The following is a 27,175-nucleotide window of genomic DNA, read 5'->3' on the forward strand; positions in this document are numbered from 1 at the left end:
ATAAGATAACAAACCCCATTAACCACCCAGTTGCTCAAACAGAAATCTAGGATTCATGTTAATTCCTTTCTTCTTTCACCCCTCACACCCAATCCATTTGTTTCATTAGTTCTCCCTTCAAAATACCTTAATTCATCCACTTTCTCCATTCTCATGGCACCATTCTAATATAAATCATGTCTCACCTGAATTGTTATCATAACCTCTTAAACAGAACTAACTCTTGCTTCCATAGTCTATTTCATGGCAGCCAGAGAGAGATTTTTAAAACACCCATAAGATCTGTCCAGGCATGGTGGCTCATGCCTGTAATCCCAGCACTTTGGGAGGCTGAGGCGGGTGGATTGCCTGAGGTTAGGAGTTCGAGACCAGCCTGGCCAACATAGTAAAACCCTGTCTCTACTAAAAATACAAAAAATTAGCTGGGCGTGGTGACAGGTGCCTGTAATCCCAGCTACTATGGAGGCTGAGGCAGGAGAATTGCTTGAACCTGGGAGGCGGAGGTTGCAGTGAGCTGAGATCGCTCCATTGCTCTCCAGCCTGGGCAACAAGAGTGAAACTCTGTCTGAAAAACAAAAAACAAAAAAATTGGCCAGGCGTGGTGATGCATGCCTGTAATTCCAGCTACTAGGGAGGCTGAAGCAGGAGAATTGCTTGAACCCAGGAGGTGGAGGTTGCAGTGAGCCGAGATGGTGCCACTGCACTCCAGCCTGGGTGACAGAGCAAGGCTCTGTCTCAAAAAAAAAAAAAAAAAATAGGATCTACTGTGTCAGTAAATCTTTAATGGCTTCCTCACAAGGCCTTACATAGTTTGGCCCCTAACTACCTTTCGACTTCATTTCCTACTTTTTTTTTCCTGCTAACACCACTGGTCCTGTTTGGGGTTTCATGACTAAGCCAAGCTCTTATTTCCCCTTGTGTCCTCTGGCTGTAATGCTGATCTTCTCATAACTGGTTCTTTTTCGTTCTTCAGGTCTTAGCATAAATCATCTCCACATTTAAGATCTTCCTACTGGACCTGGCGCAGTGGCTCTCACCTGTAATCCCAACACTTTGGGAGGCTGAGGCAGGAGGATCACTTGAGTTCAGGAGTTCGAGACCAACCTAGGCAACATAGTGAGACCCTGTGTCTACCAAAAATAGAAAAAATTAGTTGGGTGTGGTGCTTTGCACCTCTAGTTCCAGCAACTTGAGAGGCTGAGGTGGGAGGATCACTTAATCCTGGGAAGTCAAGGCTGCAGTGAGCCATATTTGCACCACTGTATTCCAGCCTGGGGGATACAGTGAGACCCTGTCTCAAACAATAATAATAATAATCTTCAGGCCAGGTGCAGTGGCTCACACCTGTAATCCCAGCACTTGGGAGGCCAAGGTGGATGGATCACCTGAGGTTAGGAGTTCGAGACCAGGCTGGCCAACATGGTGGGACCCCGTCTCTACCAAAAATACAAAAATTAGCCGGGAGTGATGGCAGGTGCCTGTAATCCCTGCTACCATGGAGGCTGAGGAAGGAGAATTGCTTGAACCCAGGAGCAGAGGTTGCAGTGAGCGGAGATCATGCCATTGCACCCCAGCCTGGGCGACAAGAGTGAAACTCCATCTTAAAAAAAAAATAATAATAATAATCTTCCTTACCAATCCATAGCTTCTCCTTCCCTGGCTGTCTTCTCTTTGTTAGTATCATCCCCCGTTTGTTTTATTTACAGCACTTACAATCTGAAATTGCCCTGTTTATTTAACGGATATGCCTATTGTTGGTCTTTTCCACTCACAACAAAATCTAATCTCCTAACCACATCTGTCTTGTGACATCACCACATCTCCAATACTTAAAACAGCACCTAGAACAATGAAGAGTCATTAAAGGAATGAAGAAAAGAAAAGAAGGAAGTATATAACCAAAAGCAGATTGGCAAACTCTTTTTTTTTTTTTGAGACAGAGTTTCACTCTTGTTGCCCAGGCTGGAGTGCAATGGTGTGATCTCAGCTCACTGCAACCTCCGCCTCCTGGATTCAAGCAATTCTCCTGCCTCACCCTCCCAAGTAGCTGGGATTACAGGCATGCGCCACAATGCCCGGCTAATTTTGTATTTTTAGTAGAGACGGGGTTTCTCCTTGTTGTCCAGGCTGGTCTCGAACTCCCGACTTCAAGTGATCCACCTGACTCGGCCTCCCAAAGTGCTGGGATTACAGGTGTGAGCCACCGTGCCTGGCGGGCAAACTCTTTTGGCAAAAGGCCAGACATTAAATATTTTAGGCTTTGCAGGTCACTTAAGACTTTTGTCGCCTATTCTTCTTCATTTAAAATAATTCTTGGCTCTTACAAAAAAACGAAAAAACAAACAAACAAACAAACAAAAAAGCAGATCAAGGGCTGGATTTGCCCCAAGGGCCATAGTTGCCAATCCTGATCTAGATTAAGGAAGAAGTTTATCTATAACCCTAGTTAATGTCTAAATTCTGCAAACCTGCCAGAGTTCTAGGTTGTAGTATAATAGAAATTGGAGTAGAAGGCCGGGCGCGGTGGCTCACGCCTGTAATCCCAGCATTTTGGGAGACCGAGATGGGAGGATCACCTGAGGTCAGGAGTTCAAGACCAGCCTGGCCAACATGGTTAAACCCATCTCCACAAAAATACCAAAATTAGCCGGTCATAATGGCGGGTGCCTGTAATCCCAGCTACTCGGGAGGCTGAGGTGACAGATTCGCTTGAACCCAGGAGGCAGAGGTTGCAGTGAGCCGAGATCGTGCCATTGCACTCCAATCTGGGCAACAGAGCGAGACTGTCTCAAAAAAAAAAAGAGAGAGAGAAAGAAATTGGAATAGAAGTGCCAGTCATGACTTCCTTGCCCATGACCCCTTCTTAGTGAAACTGATCCATCCACAGTTTGGAAAGGCAGATCTATATACCTCCCGATTCCTCAACACGTCTTACTTCCTATTCATGACTGATTGTACCAGATCACCCCATCAGATGACCTCTCTATGGAATTTGAAATTGGACCACTGAAATAGAACTAACTAGATGCTGATGGACTCTTGAAGTAAAATATGTAGTTGGGTAGGTCCATGACAAACCAAAGCCAAAGGTAAACTCATATTTTCAGAGAATGGAGATAGCACAATAAAAAAGAAGTCAGTTTGTTCAAGGAAGCTTGAGAAAGAAGGAGACACACAGATAGAAGCACAGACCTGCTGCCACAGGGCCCCAAGAAGGGTGAAAGGACTAGCCTTGGGTCCTGAATGTCCAGCTCCATGTCCCATACGGTCTAGGTGTGCTTCACTAATGTCCTTGTATATCTGGGAAGTGTTCTGTTGTATCTCTTCTTTTATTTTTGAGACAAGGTCTCGCTCTGTCACCCAGGCTGCAGGGCAATGGTGCAATCCCGGCTTGCTGCAGCCTGGACCTCTTGGGCTCAAGTGATCCTCTCACCTCAGCCTCCCAAGTAGCAGGGACTACAGGCATGTGCCACCACACCCAGCCAATTTTTTAAATTTTTTGTAGAGATGGGCTCTCACTGTGCTGCCCAGGTTGGTCTAAAACTCCTGGGCTCCAGCAATCTTCCCGTTCAACCTCCCAAAGTGCAGGCGTGAACCACTGTGCCCAGCTTCTCTTCTTAACTTACCTAATTTGAGACAGTTTCTATTCCTGACCAGAGGAATGGGTGTTTCAAGTTACCGTCAAACCTATCAATGAACACACACGTGTTTGGTGGGTGTCTGTTATGTTTAAGACACTGAGAGACATGGTGGGGCAAACAAATACATGCAAAAAATAACAATTGTTTCCAGGAAAAGTAAATCTGGTAGAGGAATGAGACATAAATAACATAAAATGATAATTAACAGTGTGAGGCAGTGTATGGTAAGTACCGCATATCAGGGTTTTATGTGTCTAAGATGTTTTAAAAGTTAATTTTAATGGTATTTAGAACAAAATGAAAATAGATGCTGAGGAAATAATGACTACTATTTCAAAAGAACCACAACAGTGAATTTTGACAAATAAAATTGTTTTGATCAGAATTATTAACAGAAAATTGTTTTGATCAGACTTAATAACATTTTAACAATTTCAAAACTGCTAACCATGTGTCAAATCTATTAAGATGAACTGAGAATAAGCCATTCTGGTGTTCTTTCTGAAAGAGATAATGACTATCCTCAGAGTATCTAAAAAGTGTTTGGTCTTAACAACAAAGGACCAGATGAAGTCCCTGTTGTGTCAAAGTAAAGTCCCCAGTATTTCATCAATACAGACATCATGCTACCAGTTGCTTAAAAATGCACTGCCTGATATAGTCTTTGTGCTGACAAAACATTCACTAGGAAGAGCGATCTCTAGAGATCTATGTCTGATGTGAGTTCGCATAGGAATTAATTTTTCCTGAACCAAGATTTGTAGAGATCTTCTAGAGATGCTTTCTGCAAAATTTGCTCAACCTGAAGTGGAAATAAACTTCATGGTAAAGGCAGTAAATTTACTAGGATTTTTTATTTTTTTAAAGTAAGTTTGTAAGGGCAATACATTTATCAGGATTTATTATTTTTTAAAGTAAGTTTATAGCAAAGTATTATTTTAAAAGGAAGTAAAGATGGGAGGGAAGAGTAAGAAAATGGGTTGCCTGCTCTAGCAATGCACAGAAATTCAGTATATGTAAAATAATCTGCTATTTAGCCCCTAAACAGTGTTTTTATTCATCCACTGGGCATTTACACTTGACGCAAAACAAGGTATGAGTCAGTAATTAATTTATGTCTATGTGCCAATATTGATAGTACTATACCATTAACTAATCAGTGGCTCTCAAGCTTAAGTGTAGATCAGAATCACCTAGAGGCTTGTTGAAACACAGATTACTAGGCCCCACTCTGAGTTTCTGATTCACTAGGTCTGGAGTGGGGCCTAAGAATTTGCATTTCTTTTTTCTTTTTCTTTTTGGGACTGGGTCTTGCTCTGTCACCTAGGCTGGAGTGCAGTGGTGCAATTACAGTTCACTGCAACCTTGACCTCCTGGCCTCAAGTGATCCTCCCACCTCAGCCTCCCAAGTAGCTTATGACCACAAGTGCCTGGCTAATTGTTTTAACTTTTAAACGTTTTGCTAGAGACAGGGGTCTCACTATGTTGCTCAGGCTGGTCTCAAGGATTGCTGGGCTCAAGCAATCCTTCCCCTTGGGCCTCCCAAAGTGCTGGGATTACAGTCATGAGCCACCACCCCCCAGCTGAGAATTTGCATTTGTAACAAGTTCCCCAGGTAATACTGATGCTGTTGGTCTGAGGACCATGGAGAGAACCAATTAACTAAAAACTATTATACTGACATCAGCCCTGTCACCAGTCTGGTCTTTCCTGCTGCATATACCTAGGGAGACAACTAGAACTATATGAAGAAAGAGTCTAAGGTGGTTTTCTTATGAATTCTATTGATGAAAAATCATACAGTGGTGTGGGGGATTCTATCTCTAATTCTAATTAATTTTTAATTTTTTTTCTTCATATAAGGTCAAAGGCCAGCTGCCAGTGTTTGCTTAAGTAAAGAAGCACATATAGCAGGCACAAGCAAGGAATGAATTCAAGTGAAAATCTCACCAAAGTGAAACCGATTGGTTCACGCTGATTGTCCAGTGACAGTGCTGGGACAGTCCAGTTTTGGTGGTTGGGAAGGATTATCCAAAGGAATAAAATACTGGCACATGCTACAACACAGATGAACCTTGCAAAAGTTGTGCTAAGTGAAAGAAGCTAGTCCTCAAGACCACATGTTACATGATTCTGTTTATCTGAAAGTCCAGAGCAGGAAAATGCATAGAGACAAAAAGTAGATTGATTAGTAGTTGCTGGAGGCAAGGGGTGGTTCACTAAAGGGGAAGAGTATTCTTTCTGAAGTGATGAAAATGTTCTAATTGTGGCAATGGTTGCACATATCTGTGAATATACTAAAAACCATTGAATTGTGTATTTTAACTGGGTAACTGTATGGTATGTGATTTATACCTCAACAAAGCTGTCTTTTGAAAAAGGATTGAGCCCAGGAGTTCATGACCAGCCTGGACAATATAGTGAGACCTCGTCTCTACAAAAAACTATAAAAATTAGCTGGGTGTGGTGGCGCACACCTGTAGTACTAGCTACTCAGGCTGAGGTGGGAGAATCCCTTGAGCCCAGGAGTACGAGGTTGCAGTGATGGTGTCACTGCAAAAGAGCCTGAGCAAAACAGCAAGATCTTGTCTCTAAAAAAAAAGAAAGGATTGTCCATGTGCATACTTTGTTCATTCTCATACTTCATACCGTGCTGTCTTCTTTCCTTAGTACTTGTACAGGAACCACTATGATAAAAGACACATTGGAAGCACAGAAGAGGGGCAGGTAAATTACAATGAGGGCTCAGAGGCAGCTTCCTGTAGAGAGTGGCTCTCAAGTTGAATTTTAAAGAACAAGCATGAGTAGCTAGCTAGAGAATGAGGGGATAGGGTGTGTCAAGTGGGAGTTAAGAGCCGGAGGGGAACTTCAGCTCTGGAAGGCACCATTGGCAGTGGCCTGCCCCATTCTTGGTCCCAGCACCTGCAGAATAGAACCATTCTGGTTCTAGATTTTCCTGGGTAACCTTGACCCTTGGGGTCTGGTGACTTCATCTCCTTCTATTCCTTCAGCCTTAGGACTGGCTATTGGTAGTGGCTTGCTGTTGTTGTTAACTTCTGGATTATCTAAGCATCCTTATTGGTTTCTCAGCTCTTTCATCTCTGCTCTGAAGACCGAAAAAAAAAAAAAAAAAAAAAAAGAGAGAGAGCAGGCTGTGGGAGGCATGGAATAATCAACACCATTTCTGATGGGAAACTTCGATGAACTGTGAATGGCTGGGGTGAAGGATGTGTGTAAGAGGAGAGGAACAAATAAAATTAGAGAAGTAGAGTGTTAGGTATTAAGCTAAAAGCCGCAGGGAGCCATTGAAGGATTAAGTAGGGGATCTGATTAGCATTTAGAAAGATCATTCTGATAGCAATGTAAAGAATGGGCTTATTGCAGTTGGCCATGAACAGACTAGCAATAAGAAAACAAACATGTGGGAAACTGTTTCAGTGAGGGAGGGTGGACTAGTCAGCAATTCTCAAACATTTTGGCCTTAGGTGCTCTTCATACTCTTGAAAATTATTAAAGGCTCCAAGGCTGGGCTCAGTGGCTCACGCCTGCAATCCCAGCACTTTCGGAGGCTGGGGCAGATGGATCACTTGAGGCCAGGAGTTTGAGACCAGCCTGGACAACATGGTGAAACCCTGTCTCTACTAAAAATACAAACATTAGCTGGGCGTGGTGGCTTATGTCTGTAATCCCAGTTACTTGGGAGACTGAGGCAGGAGAATCGCTTGAACCCAGGAGGCAGAGGTTGCAGTGAGCCGAGATCGCGCCACTGCACTCCAGCCTGGGCAACACAGCGAGACTCCGTCTCAAAAAACAAACAAACAAACAAACAAAGGCACCAAGATAGCTGCCTTAGTTCCAGACATCACGTACAGACACAACAATGTGATAGAGGAGAGATTTTTCCATTAATGAATATTTCTGTTTAAGAGCCAGGATAACCTTTTTCAAAAATTCCTCAGCTCACTCTCCCAGTGCTTAAATCACAGAAAAAGGAAAAGGAGCTGTGTTTGGTTTAAACCAACCATGATTCACTCCCTGGAGCCAGGGTTGGGCATGGGGCCAGCCTCTTCTGAAGCTTATAGAGGCTCCTACTAGCAAGGACGAATGTGAAGAGGGTAAGTGCTCTTGGGTAAGCAGCTGTCAGCAGCTGCTACAGGATTCATCAATGCAGAAGTTGTCAGTGGAAGTCTGATGTCTACTGATGATTAACCAAAGAGTACTGAAGTCAGAAGAGCTGAGACAGAGGACAGGACTCTAAAGAATGCTGACACTTAGGAAAATGAGCAAAGTAAAATGAAGCTCTGAAAGAAACTGACCTGGGACATAAGAGTGCAGTGATTAAGAGCATGCGCTCCGAAGTGAGACTGAGTTAGGTGCTACTAACGTTAGCTGTCGGATCATGGGAAAATCACTTCGTTTTCTCATCTATAAAATGGGGAGGAATTATACCTATTTCATTAGTGCTGTTAAGAGGTTGGATTAAATAATAGTAATATGTGTACTTAACACAGAACCCTTAATAAATGAAGGCTACTCTATTATTAGTTTTAATATTCATGAGGATCTGCTTCAGAGATGGAAAGATAATGAGATGGAACAGAAGACAAGAGAAGATAATTTTTAAAGTGTCTCTAGTGATAAATACTGGAAAGAAGTCAAATAAGGTAAGGACCATCATGAAATGATTATAAGTGGTCCTATTCACGTTTTTAGCATCTACTATTGGCTTATATTAAACTAACAGCTAGCCAAATCCACAAAATTGCTTTTACACAAAATCCAGCCAAACTAGTTGCCTTTCTTTCTGTACCTTTGTAGCTAACTGCAGGATTTCCATTTTATACACTATGCTGTATCTAACTTTTTAGTCTAATGTTCTAGCCTGGCAAGATCAGTTTGAATCTTTGATCTATCTTTAGTACACTAAATGGCTTTTCCATTGATAATGTCATCTGTATACTTGATGTACGTGTCTTGTATATATATATTTTTTTTCTTTTTTTTTTTTTTGAGACAGAGTCTCACTCTGTTGCCCAGGCTGGAGTGCAGTGGCATGATCTCGGCTCACTGCAACCTCTGCGTCCTGGGTTCATGCCATTCTCCTGCCCCAGACTTCCGAGTAGCTGGGACTACAGGCGCCTGCCACCACGCCCGGCTAATTTTTTTTTTTTTTGTATTTTTAGTAGAGACGGGGTTTCACCCTGTTAGCCAGGATGGTCTCGATCTCCTGACCTTGTGACCCACCTGCCTCAGCCTCCCAAAGTGCTGGGACTACAGGCGTGAGCCACCACGCCAGGCCTGTGTCTTGTATATTTTTATGTAATCTTTTTATAACAAGTAAGTGGTAAGCATACTTAAAAGGAAAGTAACTTTTCTCCAAGCCGCATTCAGTTTTCTCATCTGTAAGTTGAGTATAATTAACAGGCCAGGCACGGTGGCTCACGCCTGTAATCCCAGCACTTTGGGAGGCCGAGGCAGGCGGATCACAAGGTCAGGAGATCGAAACTATCCTGGCTAACACGGTGAAACCCCGTCTCTACTAAAAAATACAAAAAATTAGCCGGGCGCGGTGGCGGGTGCCTGTGGTCCCAGCCAGTCGTGGGGCTGAGGCAGGAGAATGGCGTGAACCCGGGAGCAGAGCTTGCAGTGAGCTGAGATCGTGCCACTGCACTCCAGCCTGGGCGACAGAGCGAGACTCCATCTCAAAAAAAAAAAAAAAAAAAAAAAGCCAGGCACGGTGGCTCACGTCTGCAATCCCAGCACTTTGGGAGGCCGAGGCGGGCGGATCACGAGGTCAGGAGATCAACACCATCTTGGCTGACACAGTGAAATCCCGTCTCTACTAAAAATACAAAAAATTAGCCGGGCGTGGTGGCGGGCGCCTGTAGTCCCAGCTACTCGGGAGGCTGAGGCAGGAGAATGGCGTGAACCTGGGAGGCGGAGCTCGCAGTGAACGAGATCGCGCCACTGCACTCCAGCCTGGGCGACACAGTAAGACTCTGCCTCAAAAAAAAAAAAAAAATGAGTATAATTATATTGATTTCAGATAAAGTATCATAAATAAGTAAATGCCTAAACATTCAATCCTCAATTGAAGCCTGTATCTGGCACATAGAAGATGCTCATGAATTCTTCCTTGTCACCTTTTTCTCCTCTTCCCTGTGTCACTCCTTCCCTTCCTTTCTCTTTAAATTTCTTTAAACATTGCTTTAATATACTGTCTTGCCTAACAAAAGAAACTGCATATAGAAGGGTGCATTGAGATCCAACTGGACAGAAGAGATTAAACTGAATTTCATGCTTTGAGTTGGTGGTGGCTCCCTAACGTGAGGATAGAGACACAAATAACAAAAGATACTTCTGTCTCTTTTAAGGGAAAATTTTTAATTCCCACTCATATACTGTTGTCTTCTCCAGGTCTAGCCCTATACCTAACATCTCCTCTGGGTCTCACATCCCTTCTAGCCCCTCAAAGCACACCATAGTTATTTCACGACTAATAGAAAAATATGAATTTAGTATCAACAATAGGCACAGCATCAAATTAGGACCAAATATATGATTCTAGAGGCAGAAAACAACCTCTCTGCCACTTAGAACCTAATGAACTCTAGTACCTGGGTTTAATTCTTTTAGACTAGAGTCTCCATTTTCCTGAAAATCTACTACCTCATCCTAACACCCTGGGAAAAGAAAGAAAATTTGAGGAACCTTCGGGATTCCTGCCCCCTCTCCTGGGTAATATGGTCATGCCATTGATGTATTCTGTCACGCTGTCAACAAACATTTATTAAGCCCTTATTATGTTTCAGGCACATTTATAAATACTAGGGATGCTGGGATGAGCAATACAGACAAGGTTCTCATGGGTTTTACATTCTAGAGGGGGAGACAATCACGCAGAAAAATATACCAACAAGGCAATAGTAGAAATAAGTAAGCTGGGTGCAGTGGCTCATGCCTGTAATCTCAATGACTTGGGAGGCTGAGGTGGGAAGATTGAGGCCAGCCTGGGCAACATGACAAAATTCCATCATTACAAAGAGATTAAAAAAAAAAAATTAGCTGGATATGGTGACACGCACCTGTAGTCCCAGCTACTCAGGAGGCTGGGGAGGGTGGATTACTTAAGCCCAGGAGTTCTAGGTTGTAGTGAGCTATGATTGTAATCATGCCACTGCACACCAGCCTTGGTGACAGAGTGAGACCCTGACTCTGAAAGAAAAGAAGAGAAGAGGAGAAAAGAAAAGAGAAAAGCAAAACAAAAACAAATGTGATATGGGGCATTTGAACAGATGACATGCTGTGGGGATCGTACGGCTCCTTTAGAGTAGGTGAGCAGGAAAACCGTCTGAACAGGTGACATTTCAGCTGAGACCTGAATTACAAGAAAGAACAAGTCACAGTAAAATGTAGAGAATATTCCAGGCAGAAGAAACACCAGCACAAAATCCCTGAGATGGGGATAAAACTGCTGTGTTCAGAGGGTTGAGAGGAAGAGGAGAGTGGTGTGTGATAAAGTTGAAGGGCCAGGGTCAGGTCACACTGTCAGGACCTCACAAACCTGAGAGCTGTTTAGAATTTCCTGGGGAGCTTTAAGAAACATGTGGGGCCTTCCTCCAGAGATTCTGATTCACTTGATCCAAGGTGGGGCCCAGGCATCAAAAGATCCCAGGGGATTCCTGTGTGCAACCTAGTTAAGACTCACTGATGTCTGGGGTTCACATGCCATGGTAGGCAGCCTGCATTTTCTCCTAAGTGGGATGGGAAGTCACTAAAGGGTATGGAAGCAGAGAAGTGATGGGATTTGAGTGATTTATTTAAAAGATCTCCCTAGCTGCTGTAAGGAGAATGGATTGTAATGAATCAAGAAAGAAAGCAGGCCATTATTGTTCAAGTCTTTTTGGAGACATATGCTTTAATTCCTCTTGGGTAAATATTTACGAATGAAATTGCTGGAAATACCCCAATGTCCATCAAAAGGTGACTAGATAAACAAATTGTGATATGTTCATACAATAAAATACTACTCAGCAATAAAAATAAAGAACTACTGATACACAAAATAACATAGATGCATCTCAAAACCATTATGCTGAGTAAGACCAGCCAGACACAAAACAGTATATGCTGTACTATTTCTTTTATGAGGTTTAAGAAGAGGTAAAACTAACCTATGGTGATAGCAATAGAAGTGGCTGCTTCTAGGGGCACAAGGATTGACTGAAAGAGGGTTACTAGGGAATTTATGAGGGTAATAAAAATGTTCTACATCTTGATTATATGGGTATACACGTTTATAAAAACTCTTTGGATGGTACACTTAGGATTGGTACATTTCACTGTATGCAAATTTAAAAAAAAAAAGAACTACTACAACTACACACATAATAAAATGGCTTAAAAAAGAAAAAAAACAATACCAAGTGCTGGAGAGGATGTGGAAATCCCATGTTACTGATGGGAATACGAAATGGTATATCTGCTTTAAAAAATAGTTTGGCATGGTGGCTCATGCCTGTAATCCCAGCACTTTGAGAGGCTGAGGAGGGCTGATGGCTTGAGCCCAGGAGTTCGAGACTAGCCTGGGAAATATGGCAAAACTCCATCTTTATGAAAAATACAGAAAATTAGCCAGGCATTGTGGTGCGCATCTGAGTCCCAGCTACTTGGGAGGCTGAGGTGGGAGAATCACCTGGGCCGGGGAAGTCGAGGCTGCAGTTTAGCTGTGATTACGCCACTGCACTCCAGCCTGGGCAATGGGAGTGAGACCCTGTCTCCTTACCAAAAAAAAAAAAAAAAAAGTCTGGCACTCTTTCTCTTTTTTTTTGAGATGGAGTCTTGTTCTGTCACCCAGGCTGGAGTGCAGTGGCGAGATCTTGGCTCACTGCAACCTCCGCCTCCCAGGTTCAAGCAATTCTCCTGCCTCAGCCTCGTGAGTAGCTGGGACTACAGGCAAACACCACCACGTCCAGCTAATTTTTGTATTTTTAGTAGAGACGGGGTTTCGCCATGTTGGCCAGGATGGTCTCAATCTCTTGACCTCGTGGTCCACCCACCTCTGCCTCCCAAAGTGCTGGGATAACATGCATGAGCCACCGTGCCCAACTTCTGGCACTTTCTTATAAAATTAAACAGGTACTTACCATATGACACAGCAATCTTACTTCTTGGTATTTACTCAAGAGAATAAAATATGTCACAGAAAGACCCTTATGTGACGGTTTACAGCTGTTTTATTCACAACAGTTGATTTTTGAAAACCAGAGAAAAGCATCAGGGATTACAGTTGGGAGACTATGGCAGTAGTCCTGGTGAAAGACAGTAACTAGGTCTAGGCTGCTAGGAATGAAGATGAAGAGAAGTTAACAAATCCAGGATGTATCTGGAGAGAGAGTCTAAAGGCATTGCCAATGGTGTGAGAAGAAGAAAGGAATCCAGAATGACTCTAAGGTATTTGGTATGAGCAACTGGATGGATGATGATGCCATTTATGGGGCTGTGAAAGAATGGGGAAAGTAGGCGAGGATAGACAAAAATCCAGGGTTCTCTTTTAGCCATGTTAAGATGGCTTATTAGACTTCACAAACAGTGGAGCAGTAGATTTGGGAAAAAGATGCCTCCATCTTTTATTGTTAGAACATAAACTGTCAATCTGGTGACTAGGAGGAGGCTGTGATGATAGGTGGCAGCAGAACGCCACGCTTTGGAGTTGTGATAGTGTGTCAGGAATAGGCTGACAAGCCACAGAATTAGGTATGATCTAGAATCTCTGTAGAATTGTGGACCTAACAGATAGAAGGAATAGAAAAAGAATTCAGGATGAGATGAAACAATCAATAGCTTAATCCAAACAAATGGTGTAATCACTGAATGGAGGTTTATAGGAGCTAATCAGGCTTGGAAATTAGATAATGATATGATTTAGGTTCAAAGATGTGGGCTAATGTGAGCATTTCTTATTAGTTATGTATTGCTATGAAACAAATTACTCCAAACTTTAGAGGCTTAAAACAATAATAAATGTTTATAATTTTACAGGGATTCTGTGGATTAGGAATTTAGGAGCTGGCCGGGAGCGGTGGCTCAAGCCTGTAGTCCCAGCACTTTGGGAGGCCGAGGTGGGTGGATCACGAGGTCAGGAGTCAAGACCAGCCTGGCCAACTTGGTGAAACCCCGTCTCTACTAAAAATACAAAAACAAAAATTAGACAGGCGTAGCGGCAGGCGCCTGTAATCCCAGCTACTCAGGAGGCTGAGGCAGAGAATTGCTTGAACCTGGCAGGCAGAGGTTGCAGTGAGCCAAGATTGCACCACTGCACTCCGGCCTGGGTGAAAGAGCGAGACAACGTCTCAAAAAAAAAAAAAAAAAAAAAAAAAGAAGGAATTTAGGAGCTGCTTGATGTTTCTGGTGTTTCCTTGTTGTTGTTGCTTTGGGGGAGGAAGAGGGCAGAATGGAGTGGCTCATTTTTAATTCAGGATCCCTCATGAGGTTGCAGTCAAAATGTTGGTGTGAGCTGCAGTTATCTGAAAGCTTGGCTGGGGCTAGAGGATCTACTTCCCAGATGGGTGATTCATACTCATGGCAAGCTAATGCTGGCCATTGGTAGGAGGACTCAGTTCCTCACTACATGACTGCTCCACAGGAGTGCATGAGTAGCTGGCTTCGTCCAGAGCAAATGATCCAAGAGCATGCAAGGTAGAAGTAGAAATGTTTTTGATGACCTAGCTTCAGAAGTCACTCTACATCATTTCCACACTGTCTTATTGATTTTCCAGGTCAGCCCTGTTCAGAGTGGAAGTATCCACCCAAGGGAGTGACTATGAGGTGTGAGAGAATCTCTGGGGGTTATTTTGGAGGCTGGCTACAACTCCTTTTTAAGTTCTAAAGTTCATGTCATATTAAGAGTAAAAGGAACTCATCTCCTGGTAGTGGTGTTATGAACAGAATTCCCTAGGTATTTGTTTATGTTTGTTTGTTTTGAGACGAGGTCTTCCTCTATGGTCCAAGCTAAGGTGCTGTGCTCACTGCAGGTTTAACCTCCTGGGCTCAAGTGATCCTCCAACCTTAGTCTCCCACATAGCTGGGATCTCAGGCGAGCACTACCACATCCAGCTAATTTTTAATTTTTGTAGAGATGGGGTCTCCCTATGTTGTCCAGGGTGGTCTCAAACTCCTGGACTCAAGTGATCCTCCCACCTTGGCCTCCCAAAGTGCTGGGATTACACGTGTCAGTTACCGCATTTGGCCCCCGTAGAAATATGTGGCTCTAGACTTCGTGCAATACCAGCTTTGGAAGGTATATTCAAAAGAATTTGAGAAAAATCTTTTGTTTTTTAAAGCAATAAGTGTTTTATTTTATTTTATTTTATTTGTTTGTTTTTTGAGACAGATCTCACTCTGTCACCCAGGTTGGAGTGCCCTGGTGCGATCTGAGCTCACTGCAACCTCCGCCTTCCAGGTTCAAGGGATTCTCCTGCCTCAGCCTCCTGAGTAGCTGGGATTACAGGCACGCACCACCATGCCTGGCTAATTTTTGTATTTTTAGTAGAGATGGGGTTTCACCATGTTGGCCAAGCTGGTCTCGAACTCCTGACCTCAGGTGATCCGCCCACCTTGGCCTCTCAAAGTGCTGGGATGACAGGTGTGAGCCACCACACCCGGCTTAAAGCAATATGTATTTTAAACCTAGGTAGGTTGACAATTAAATATAGAAATGATTAAGAAAATCAAACATGCTGGGCACGGTGGCTCACGCCTGTAATCCCAGCACTTCGGCAGGCAGAGGCGGGCGGATCACCAGGTCAGGGGATGGAGAACATCCTGGCTAACACGGTGAAACCCCGTCTCTACTAAAAATACAAACAAAACAAAACAAAAAACAAAAAAACATTAGCCGGGAGTGGTGGCGGGCGCCTGGAGTCCCAGCTACTCTGGAGGCTGAGGCAGGAGAATGGCGTGAACCCGGGAGGCGGAATGGCGTGAACCCGGGAGGCGGAGCTTGCAGTGAGCCGAGATCGCGCCACTGCACTCCCGCCTGCGCGAAAGAGCGAGACTCCTTCTCAAAAAAAAAAAAAAAAAAAAAAAAAAAGAAAAGAAAAAAGAAAAATATATTAGTCGTGTAGTACTTATTTAAAACATATGATCTAAGTAATTGACTTACATTTGTGATTTTAAGTGGAAATATTTCAAAATGTAAATGTAATATTAGACATTTAAAAGAACCTAAAATTAACATATTTTTAAGATTAATCGATTGCATATATATGAATCACATAAATACTTGAAAAGGAATTTTTGTCAGTCATACAACTGAAGTACTTGACAAAATAAATTAATTACTTTAAGTTTACAAATGCAGATAAAATACTTAAAGTAGGTTAAGTAAATTTATTTATTTATTTATTTATTTAAAAAAATTTTTTTGAGACAGAATTTCAGTGTCATTGCACAGGCTGGAGTGCAGTGGCGCGATCTCGGCTCACCACAAACTCCGCCTCCAGAGCTCAAGTGATTCTTCTGCCTCAGCCTCCCGAATAGCTGGGATAACAGGCATGTACCACCACGCCAGGCTAATTTTGTATTTTTTTGGTAGAGGCAAGGTTTCTCCATGTTGGTCAGGCTGGTCTCGAACTATCCACTTCAGGTGATCCGCCTGCCTCAGCCTCCCAAAGTGTTGGGATTACAGGCTTGAGCCACCGCACCCAGCCTATTCTGTATGTTTTTATTTTATTTATTTATTTTTTTGAGACAAAATTTCACTCCTGTTGCCCAGGCTGGATGGAGTGCAATGGCGTGATCTCGGCTCACCACAACCTCCGCCTCCCGGGTTCAAACGATTCTCCTGCCTCAGCCTCTCCAGTAGCTGGGATTACAGGCATGTGCCAGGATGCCCAGCTAATTTCTATTTTTAGTAGAGACGCAGTTTCTCCTTGTTGGTCAGCTGCTCTCGAACTCCCAACCTCGGGTGATCTGCCCACCTCAGCCTCCCAAAGTGCTAGGATTACAGATGTGAGCCACCGCACCCAGCTGTTTTTATTTTTTTTTTAGATAGAGTCTTGCTGTGTTGCCCAGGCTGGAGTGCAGTGGCGTAATCTCGGCTCACTGCAACCTCTGCCTCCCCGGTTCAAGCAATTCTCCTGCCTCAGTCTCCCAAGTAGCTGGGATTACAGGCATGTGCCACCACGCCTGGCTAATTTTTGTATTTTTAGTAGAGACAGAGTTTTGCCATGTTGGCCAGGCTGGTCTCGAACTCCTGGCTTCAATTGATCCACCTGCCTCGGCCTCCCAAACTGCTAGGATTACAGGCGTGAGCCACCACGCCCCACCAATTAAGTAAATGTATAAATTTGACCAAACATTAATCAAAACCCTCCTCAAAAGTGATTAAATTTAGCTATATCTGTACAATTTATAAGTTGAATTTATAAGCTTACAGAAAAATCCTCGAAGGTTTTGATTTTGTAAAGTCAAATATTAATTTTCAAAGCCAGGCAACTTCTGAATAATTTCTTTCTTTTTTTCTTTTCTGAGACAGAGTCTCACTCTGTTGCCCAGGCTGGAGTGTAGTGGCATGCTCTCGGCTCCACTGCAGCCTCCATCTCTTAGGCTCAAGCAATCCTCCCACTTCAGCCTCCAGAGTAACTGGGACTACAGGTGCACGCCACCACGCTGACCTGAATATTAATAATTTTTTCTATTTGCAAAAGCCGCCTTTGAGGGAATATATTGAATTGGATGGCAGATAAGGAAGGGGAGGTTGGGGAGAGATTTTGGCTGATGGGTCAGGCCCTGACTGAATAAGCTTGGGCCTGTCTCTAGCTGCCTTGCGAGGCTAGCTGCTCCAGTGCTATGAGCCCCTCAGTGCTGAAGCCGCAGGATGGGGGAAGGGAAGCAGAAGCCATGCCCCTGTCTGGGTTTGTCTGTCCCCAGGAACCCCTTGTCCTCACTGTGCTCTGTGCATGTAATAAATGATGCACTGGCCTTAATACCAATTCACAGCATGATTCTTGTCTCTCCGAAGGAGCTGAGCCCGTGGCGTAATGGTCTTTCTTTATTAACTTGCTCTTTGATCGTCCAAGGGACTCCTAACTGACCTGCAGAACTAATTGTGGCTGTATTAAGCAAAGAGTACAGTAAAAACCCAAAGAGGATCCTGAGCATAAGAGCTGCAAATTCACCACATTGTAGTGACATGACTGATCAATGTACAATGAAGACATAGCCAAACACTGATTAATAGTGAGTGGCAGAGCCTCACATTTCATTTTTGGTTGTAATATATTACTGTTTTAAAATTTGCTATAACTGGGCCGGGTGCAGTGGCTCACACTTGTAATCCCAGCATTTTGGGAGGCTGAGGCCTGTGGATCACTTGAGGCCAGGAGTTCAAAACCAGCCTGGCCAACGTGGTGTAACCCGTTTCTACTAAAAATACAAAAAAAATTAGCCAGTTGTGGTGGCACACACCCGTAATCTCAGCTACTCAGGAGGCTGAGGCAGGAGAAGCGCTTGAACCCAGGAGGTGGAGGTTGCAGTGAACCGACATTGTGCCATTACACTTCAGCCTGGGCAACAAGAGTGAAACTCCAACTCAAAAAAAAAAAATAAAAATAAAAATAAATAAATAAATAAAACTTGCTGTAACTGGTCTTATTCCTAAACCCCCTGCCCAGCTTGGATGTGGGGCAAGAGTGTTCTTAAATTTCCTGTTAACTGTATTTTTCTGTCTTCTATCAAAGTCCAACTCTCAGTTGGTGCTCTTGGCTTGGGATGGTGTCCAGATGCAGGAAGGAAGTCTCAAAAGCCTGGAGTGCTGGAGTGAGGTGGCCTGCTCTCCACACTGGCACGTGCGAGGTTCCCGACTTTGCTGCCCTTCACGCAGTTTTAGCAACCAAAGATGAGCTGCCCTGACCTCTGGGTTGCAACTTTTCTCTGCAGGCCTCCTCTTCCCCACCCAGGCCCTGCCAGACCAGCAGTCCGGGGCACAGCTTCAAAGCACAGCTCCGACATTCAGGGCCCCGATACAGTACTGCGGTCTCCAGCCACAGCCGTTCCTGGCTGGCCCAGTAGATAAGGCTTATTCTCAAATCCCACCCAGGGTAGCCAGCAGGCTCAGGTCACAAGTCCAGGAATCGCTAGCCGATCAAGGCTAGAGGTACCGCTTGTCTGATAAGTGACCCAGACCACGGGTGGAATCTTGGCTTGACAAGACCCACTGCCTTTCTCCTCCCCCAACTTCATCTTCGCAGTCTAACTATACTGGATTGGGTTTCCCATTTGGCAGTAAAACTTGTGCACTCAGCCCTGAATCACTGGTCTCTCAGCATTTTTCTCCGTAACGCAGGCAAAAGCCCCGCAGCTCTTGTCATCCCAGTGGGTGATCGCCCCTCCTGATCCTTGGCATTGTGCCAAGGCTCCTTTTTCCCTACTTCTGTCTCCCACTCCTTCCTGCAGTACTCAGGGCCTAAATGGATGAACTTCTGGCAGGATGTCTTCACTCTCGTCACTAACGTCCAAGGCCCAGCCACGATGGTAGAGGGGTCTTCACTACATTATGCGAGAAGGTGTAATACAAAAAATTAGCCAGGTGTGATGGCGGGTGCTTGTGGTCTCAGCTACTCAGGAGGCTGAGGTAGGAGGATTGATTGAGCCAAGGAGACAGAGGTTTCAATGAGCCGTGATCGCCACTGCACTCCAGCCTGGATGACAGAACAAGACCCTGTCTCAAAAAAATAATGAAATAAAATAAAATAAGAGGTGCAGTTTCCAGCCTGGCCAGTATGGTGAAACCCTGTCTCCACTAAAGATACAAAAAATTAGCCGGGCATGGTGACGTGCACCTGTAATCCCAGCTACTCGAGAGGCTGAGGCAGGAGAATCGTTTGAACACAGGTGGCAGAAGTTGAGGTGAGCTGAGGTCGCGCCATTGCACTCCAGCCTGGGCGACAGGGCACGACTCTGTCCCAGAAAAGAAGGTGTGGTTTGAGCCCATCATGTGAGTTGAGAATAGTAGAAACTGGGACCTATACTGGGACTCAAAATACATTAGCATTATATGTGCAATTATATTTCCATTGAAACTAACTTTACATATTAATTGGACTTTTGAGGGGGTGGGGAGGGGGAATTATATTTGACAAAGAGTTACTGCCTGACTGTCATGTGCAAAGTACTGGACCCTGTCTACAATGACCTGACACCTTGGAGAGGAGGGGAAACATGTTTATAAGTATCTTCAAAGAAAAGACAGGGCTGGGCGCAGTGGCTCACGCCTGTAATCCCAGCACTTTGGGAGGCCGAGGCAGGTGGATCACCTGAGGCCAGGAGTTCAAGACCAGCCTGGCCAACATGGTGAAACCCTGTCTCTACTAAAAATACAAAAATTAGGTGGGCAGGGTGGCATGCGCCTGTAGTCCCAGCTACTCAGGAAGCTGAGGTAGAAGAATCGCTTGAATCCAGGAGGCAGAGGTTGCAGTGAGCCGAGATTGAGCTACTGCAGCACTCCAGCCTGGGCGATAAAGCAAGACTCCATCTCAAAAAAAAAAAAAGAAAGAAAGACAGAAGATGGCAAGTGCTGTAAAAGAAATTCAAAGTATCATAGAAGCCTGGAGATGGGTGGGATGAATTCTGAATCGGTGGACCCAGGAAGGCTTCAAGGAGCATCCATAAACATCTGAGGCTTGCTTAGGGAAAGAGAATATAGGAAGGAATAAGATATACTGTATCTGCTTTTGAGAATTCATGTTCTAGTGGCAAAGACTGACATGTTTTGTGGGAAAGGTGATGTTTAAGCCAGACCTTGGAAGGCATGTACAATTTCAACAAGCAGAGATAAAGAATAAGAGAAAGAGGGATTTCCAGAAAAAGGAAAGCATGAATATCACAGACCTATGGTTTCTTTCCCTTCCCACCCCAGCACCACTTCATCCACAGGGATGAATCATCTTCTCCATACCATGAGATCCCACCTCCTGACCACATAGTATTGGCTATTGAATATTGGCAGAATTCTTACCCAGCAAACCAATCAGTTCTTCCCTGAGACTTTTGGAACTGAAACTGAGAAAAAGTAGTCAATTTCCCTTTGGGTATGAAAGATAAACCTGGAATCTACTGATAACTATGACTTTGAGAATGCATGGAGAGAGACCGAGAGAGAAACGAGAGAGAGAGAGAGAGAGAGAGGAGTGAGAGAGAGGAAAAGAGAGAAAAAATTGAGGCAGATACAAAGGAGAGAAATGTCATAGAGAGAGAACACTGGTGGCCTGTGTGTCTCTGATTCTGGACATTCATGAGTCTTAGCTGCATTTCTGACCTTGGATTCCCTGGAATACAGTAATATCTTTATGATACATTTTTATTTTTCCTTAAGCTAAATTGAGGTTTTTGCTTTTTCTTCTTTGCCACTAAAAAATTCCTATTGTATTATTATTTATTTATTTATTTTGGTAAAGGGTCTCACTCTGTCACCCAGGCTGGAGTGCAGTGAGCTAGATCATGGCTCACTGCAGCCTTGACCTCCTGGGCTCAAGCAATCCTCCCATCTCACCCTCCTAAGTAGCTGGGACTAGAGGATGGTTAATTTTTGATTTTGTGTAGAGACAGGGTTTTACTATGTTGCCCTGGCTGGTCTCAAACTCCTGGGCTCAAGCCATCCTCCTGCCTCAGCCTCCCAAAGTGCTGGGATTACAGGTGTGAGCCACCGCACCCAGCCTGTATTAGTTTTCTACAACTACTATAACAAATTACCTATTGTTATAGGCTTGAAACAATAGACGTTTATTCTCTTACAGTTCTAGAAGGTGGAAGTCCAAAATCAAGGTGTCCACAGGGCCGTGCTCCCTCTAAAGGTTCTAAGGAGGAATCCTTTCTCGACAATTTCTAGCTTCTGGCAGCTGCCTGTAATCCTTGGCATTCCTTCGCCTATAGCTGCATCACCCCATTTCTACCCCCATCTTTACATGGCTGTCTTCACTCTGTGTGCCTCTCTGTCTTCAAATGGCCTTTCTTCTTCTTCTTCTTCTTTGTTTTTTAAATTTGAGATGGAGTCTCTGTTGCCCAGGCTGGAGTGCAGTGGTGTGATCTCAGCTCACTGCAACCTCTGCCTCCTGGGTTCAAGCTATTCTCCTGCCTCAGCCTCCCAAGTAGCTGGGATTACAGGTACGTGCCACCACACCTAGTTTTGTTTTTGTTTTTTGTTTTTGTTTTTGTTTTTTTTTCAGTAGAGACAGGGTTTCACCATGTTGGCCAAGCTGGTCTCGAACTCCTGACCCCAGGTCTCAGAGGTCTCAGCCTCCCAAAGTGCTGGGATTACAGGTGTGAGCCACTGCACCCGACCATGGCCTTTCTTCTAAGGACACCAGTCATTGATTTTGGGGCCCACACTAATCCAACTAGACCTCATCTTAACTCACGACATCTGCAAAGACACTATTTCCCAATAAGGTCCCATTCTGAGGTTCTGGGCAGACATACATTTTGGAGGAATGCTGTTCAACTCAGGACACTGCTTCAATGCACAAAGGTGCCGGGGCTGCAAGTTCAGATCCTGTTTAGAGCCAGGTACTCAGAAACCTGGAGTGTTGTGCCGGGGAGTTGGGGTTTGCTCTCTACCTAGTGAGGAGGCATCAAGTGTCCTGGACAGGATAGTATCATGGTCCTAGTTTCATGGAGGACTGCTGGTCATAGTGTGTAACCTAACTTGGAACAGGGAGGGATAAAGAAGCAGGAAAACCGGCCGGGCACGGTGGCTCACACCTGTAATCCCAGCACTTTGGGAGGCCGAGGCGCATGGATCACCTGAGGTCAGGAGTTCGAGACCAGCCTGGCCAACGTGGCTAAACCCCGTTTCTACTAAAAATACAAAAATTAGCCGGGTATGGCGGTAGCGCCTATAGTCCCAGCTACTTGGGAGGCTGAGATAGGAGAATCGCTTGAACCTGGGAGGCAGAGGTTGCAGTGAGCTGAGATCGCACCATTGCACTCCAGCCTGGGCAACAAGAGTAAAACTCCATCTCAAAAAAAAAAAAAAAAAAAAAAAAAAAGCAGGAAAACCAGTTACACTATTCAATGTCAGGTGAAAGGTAATACAGTGCCCAGTCAGGATAGCAGGTGTAGGAATGCGTAGAAAGGGACAGGCGGGAGACACACCACAGATCCAGAGTTAACCAGACTCGGCCATTTTTAACATAATTGTATGGTGGGGTGGGAGGAAGAGAGTGAAGAAACGGAAGAATTTAGATGCATTGTGCAATATGGGGGTCCATAAACATCATCGAATGGTTACCAGATGAGAGATGATATGACCTGAAGGGCTGGTATGTAAAGAGAAGGGCAAGGCTTGAGGATCACAGGGTTGGGCCCCCATAGACATTGTAAGAGGGGTCAGGGAGTTCAAAAGGCGTTCCCTCCATTTTGATTATTTACATGAAAATTATTCTGTGCTTTCATATGAGGAGTCTAGAGCATAGTCCTTACCTGCTTTTATTTTCTTTAGGAAAAAAATTTTTGATACTCTTTGCTTACATCAGGCTTCTTGTTTGAATAGTATATTTTTTTATTTGAATAGATACTGCCAGATTACTTTTCTAAAAGGCTATAACAATTTACTTTTCCACTGGTACCACATGAGTTTCCTTTCTTCCTTTTCCCTACCATTAGTAGGTATTTGCACTCTTTAATTTTTACTATTTGAAAATGTGACTTGGAGACAAAGTCTTGCTCTGTTGTCCAGGTTGGAGTGCAGTGGCGCAATCTCGGCTCACTGCAACCTCTACCTCCCGGGTTCAAGCAATCCTCCTGCCTCAGCCTCCTGAGTAGCTGGGATTACAGGTGCCTGCCACCACGCCTAGCTAATTTTTTGTATTTTTAGTAGAGAGGGGGTTTCACCAAGTTGGCCAGGCTGGTCTCAAACTCCTGACCTCAAGTGATCCACTCGCCTCAGCCTCCCGAAGTGCTGGGATTACAGGCGTGAGCCACTGCGCCCAGCCAAAATGAGAATTTTTATATATAAATCTTTGTCCATCCAATGATGCTTACAATGATGTTTATAATTAGAAAGATGACATAGGTGAAGTTTTCTCAGATTCTTTACTTTGTTGTTTGTCTTCCTGTGTGACTTTCTCCCACTTCTTTGCTAATATTTTAGGTGGATAGGGAGAGATATGAGAAAGGGAAAGGGTTAAATCAAATAAATGTTTTATTATCTTTGAATTATATTTATATATGCCTTTCCTGTCCTTCATTACAAAGTGATCTAGAACTGCTGTTAAGTCATTATTAGTTCTCTAATTTTACCTTATGCATAAAAAAATTTTTCATTTTATTGAGGGAAGAACAAATGCAAAAGAATCCTAACATTATCTGTAACCTACAAAAGCAGCTTCTTGACTCTTCTTGACTCTTTCTTTTCTTTCTTTCTTTTTTTTTTTTTTTGAGATGGAGTTTTGCTCTTGTTGCCTAGGCTGGAGTGCAGTGGTGTGATCTTGGCCCACTGCAACTTCCGCCTCCCGGGTTCTAGTGATCCTCCTGCCTCAGCCTCCTGAGTAGCTGGGATTACAGGTATGTGCCACTATGCCCGGCTAATTTTGTATTTTTTGTAGAGATGGGGTTTCTCCATGTTGGTCAGGCTGGTCTTGAACTCCCAACCTCAGGTAGTCCACCTGCCTTGGCCTCTGAAGGGTTGGGATTACAGGCATGAGCCACCACGCCTAGCCTGACTCTTTTCCTTAGACATAGAAATTCTGAAAAGCATCAACCTTTTTTTACCACAGTGAAAAAAAAAGATGAGATTTATATCTCAATACCATGAATGGTTTATATAATAATATATGAGTGGATAAATAAACATCCTTTTCTACAGTCTTCTCCTTTAAACTTTGGCTATTAGAGTCAGAATGCTTCAATTGCAGAATTCTCACTTGAGCAAAGTTTTTGTATAACATTATTCATATTCTTGGCCTTGGATAGCAATTAAGTCTCTCAAGTCTAAAATTGCTTTGTTTGCTTTTTAAAGAAATCTGCCCACCTTACAGACCTACAAGTTAACTAACCAGCCTGTTTTTCCCCCAAGAGGACTTCGCTCTGTTGGTTTCTTGCCAGCTCTTACTTTCAAATTGAAATAGTTCAGTTTCACTGTTTCTAGAACATAGAATTCATTACCCATGGATTTTTGCCAACAATGTCCCTCTCATGTTTTTTAAAACTAAGATGAATGTTACAGAGTGACCTAGTGGACTGGATCCACGACTAGAAATCAGGCAGTGATATATTAGATGTGTGCGTGGATGCTCCATTCTGGGTAGTGAGGTGGCTAGGGGGATGGGATTCTGGGAGGGTGAGGAGGGCATTCAGGGTGAAGCCTTCAGGACTAGAGTGGAGAAATATGTGTGAGAGATTAGGTAAGATTTGACATATGTGAGGCAAGACTTAGATTCTTCCCTTGCCCTCAGGTCCCTGGCGGGTCGCTACCACAGATAGGGCACAGTCATTTATTCCTTTTGGTCATTTGGGTAGAAAACAGATAGCCAGGTGACAGAGAATATTTATAAAGGGCTCTAAGAAGAACCATTCCTCTGTTGTTTCCATTTTCTCTTGCTACGTCTGCAGCTCTGCTTATCCCTCTGTTTCTACTAGTCCTGAAAGGGCATGCCTTCCTGCAACAGAACAGAAATCTCAGGAATGTATACATCAGCATAACCTATGGCCAACATGAATTTTTCATTCATGTGGCTCTGTTGAATGAAATAACGAAATTCCTTTATCTTTTAGGTTACTTTCTAAGTATTTTTAGGTTACTTTCTAGGAATATGTTAGTGTTTAAATATTTTTCTCTTCTGATTTACTATATATATATATTTAATTAAACTTTTAATTGTGAGATAATTGTAGATTCATATGCAGTTATAAGAAATAATGCAGGCCGGGGGTGGTGGCTCACGCCTGTAACCCCAGCACTTTGGGAGGCCGAGGTGGGTGGATCACTTTAGGTCAGGAGTTCGAGACGAGCCTGGACAATATGGTGAAACCCTGTCTCTACTAAAAATACAAAAATTAGTCAGGCATGGTGGTGCACACCTGTAGTCCCAGCTACTCGGGAGGCTGAGGTGGGAGAATCACTTCAGCCCGGGAGGTAGAGGTTGCAGTGAGCCGAGATTGCGCCATTGCACTCCAGCTTGGGCAACTGAGTGAGATTCTGTCTCAAAAAAAAAAAAAAAAAAAAAAAAAGAAAGAAAGAAAAGAAAAGAAAAGAAAGAAGGAATGCAGCTGAAGCCAGAAGCTACCTATTGGGTAAGGAGTGCTCTCAGCACTTAAGAGGTTTTTTTAAAAAAAAATAATAAAATAATGCAGAGAAATCTCATGTACCATTTACCCTGTTTCCCCCAATAGTAACATCTTCCAAAACTATAGCACAATGTGACAACAAGGATATTGACATTGACAGAATAAAGATTTATAAAAATTTCATCATCACAAGAATCCCTCCTGTTGCTCTTTTACAGATGTGTACACTTCTCTCCTTCCCGAGCCCCTCGTTATCCCTGGCAACCGCTAGTCTATTCTCTATTTCTATAATGTTGCCATTTCAAGAATGTTAATTAAATGGGACCATAGAGTGTGAAACCTTTTGGTATTGGCTTTTTTTAACTCAGCATAATTCCTGGAGATTCATGTATATATCAATATTTAATTGTTTTTTAGTTCTGAGTAATATTTTGTGGTATGTACTACAGTTCGTTTATTCACTCATTGAAGGATAAGTGGGTCATTTCCAGTTTTTTGGCTATTATCATTAAAGCTGCTATGAATATTTGTTTTGTGTGTGTGTGTAAGATGGAGTCTCGCTCTGTTGCACAGGCTAGAGTGCTGTAGCATGATCATGGTTCACTGCAATCTTCGCCTCCCGGGTTCAAGTGATTCTTGTGCCTCAGCCCCCCGAGTAGCTGGAATTACCGGTGCCCACCACCATGCCTGGGTAATTTTGGTATTTTTAGTAGAGACGGGGTTTTGCCATGTTGGCCAGGTTGTTCTCCAACTCCTGACCTCAGGTGATCCGCCTGCCTTGGCCTCCCAAATTGCTGAAATTACAGGCCTGAGCCACTGCGCCTGGCCTGCTATGAATATTTGAGCACAGGCTTTTATATGAACATAGATTTTGTGTCTCTGGAATATATGTCAAAGAGTACAACTGATGGGTCATGTGGGAGTTGCATGTTTAGTTTTATATGAAAGTGCCAAACTGTTTTCAAGAATGGTTGGACCATTTTAAGTTTCCATCAGCAATTATGAGTTATCTAGTTTCTCTACATCCTTGTCTGCATTTAATGTTGTCACTATTTTTATTTTAGCCATTCTGATAGTAACTGTAGTGATTTCTCATCGAAGTTGAAATCTACATTATTTTCCTGATGGCTAATGATGTCGGAGACCTTTTCATGTGCTTATTTGCCATCTGCATGTCTTCTATGAAAATATCTGTTCACGTTTTTTAAATCAATTTTCTAACTGAATTATTCGATTTTTTTTTAATTTTT

The 27,175-nt window shown here is 43.6% G+C and overlaps 1 annotated feature.

Moving 5' to 3' along the window:
• Positions 6,704-7,225: an enhancer, noted in NCBI's record as "NANOG hESC enhancer chr4:129697052-129697573 (GRCh37/hg19 assembly coordinates)". NCBI's record gives its function as "activates a minimal SCP1, AML or CMV promoter by ChIP-STARR-seq in primed H9 embryonic stem cells {active_cell/tissue: H9 hESC(primed)}" and the evidence as "EXISTENCE:reporter gene assay evidence [ECO:0000049][PMID:30033119]".

The sequence above is a fragment of the Homo sapiens genome, chromosome 4 (genome assembly GCF_000001405.40).
Source record: "Homo sapiens chromosome 4, GRCh38.p14 Primary Assembly".
Lineage (NCBI taxonomy): Eukaryota > Metazoa > Chordata > Mammalia > Primates > Hominidae > Homo > Homo sapiens.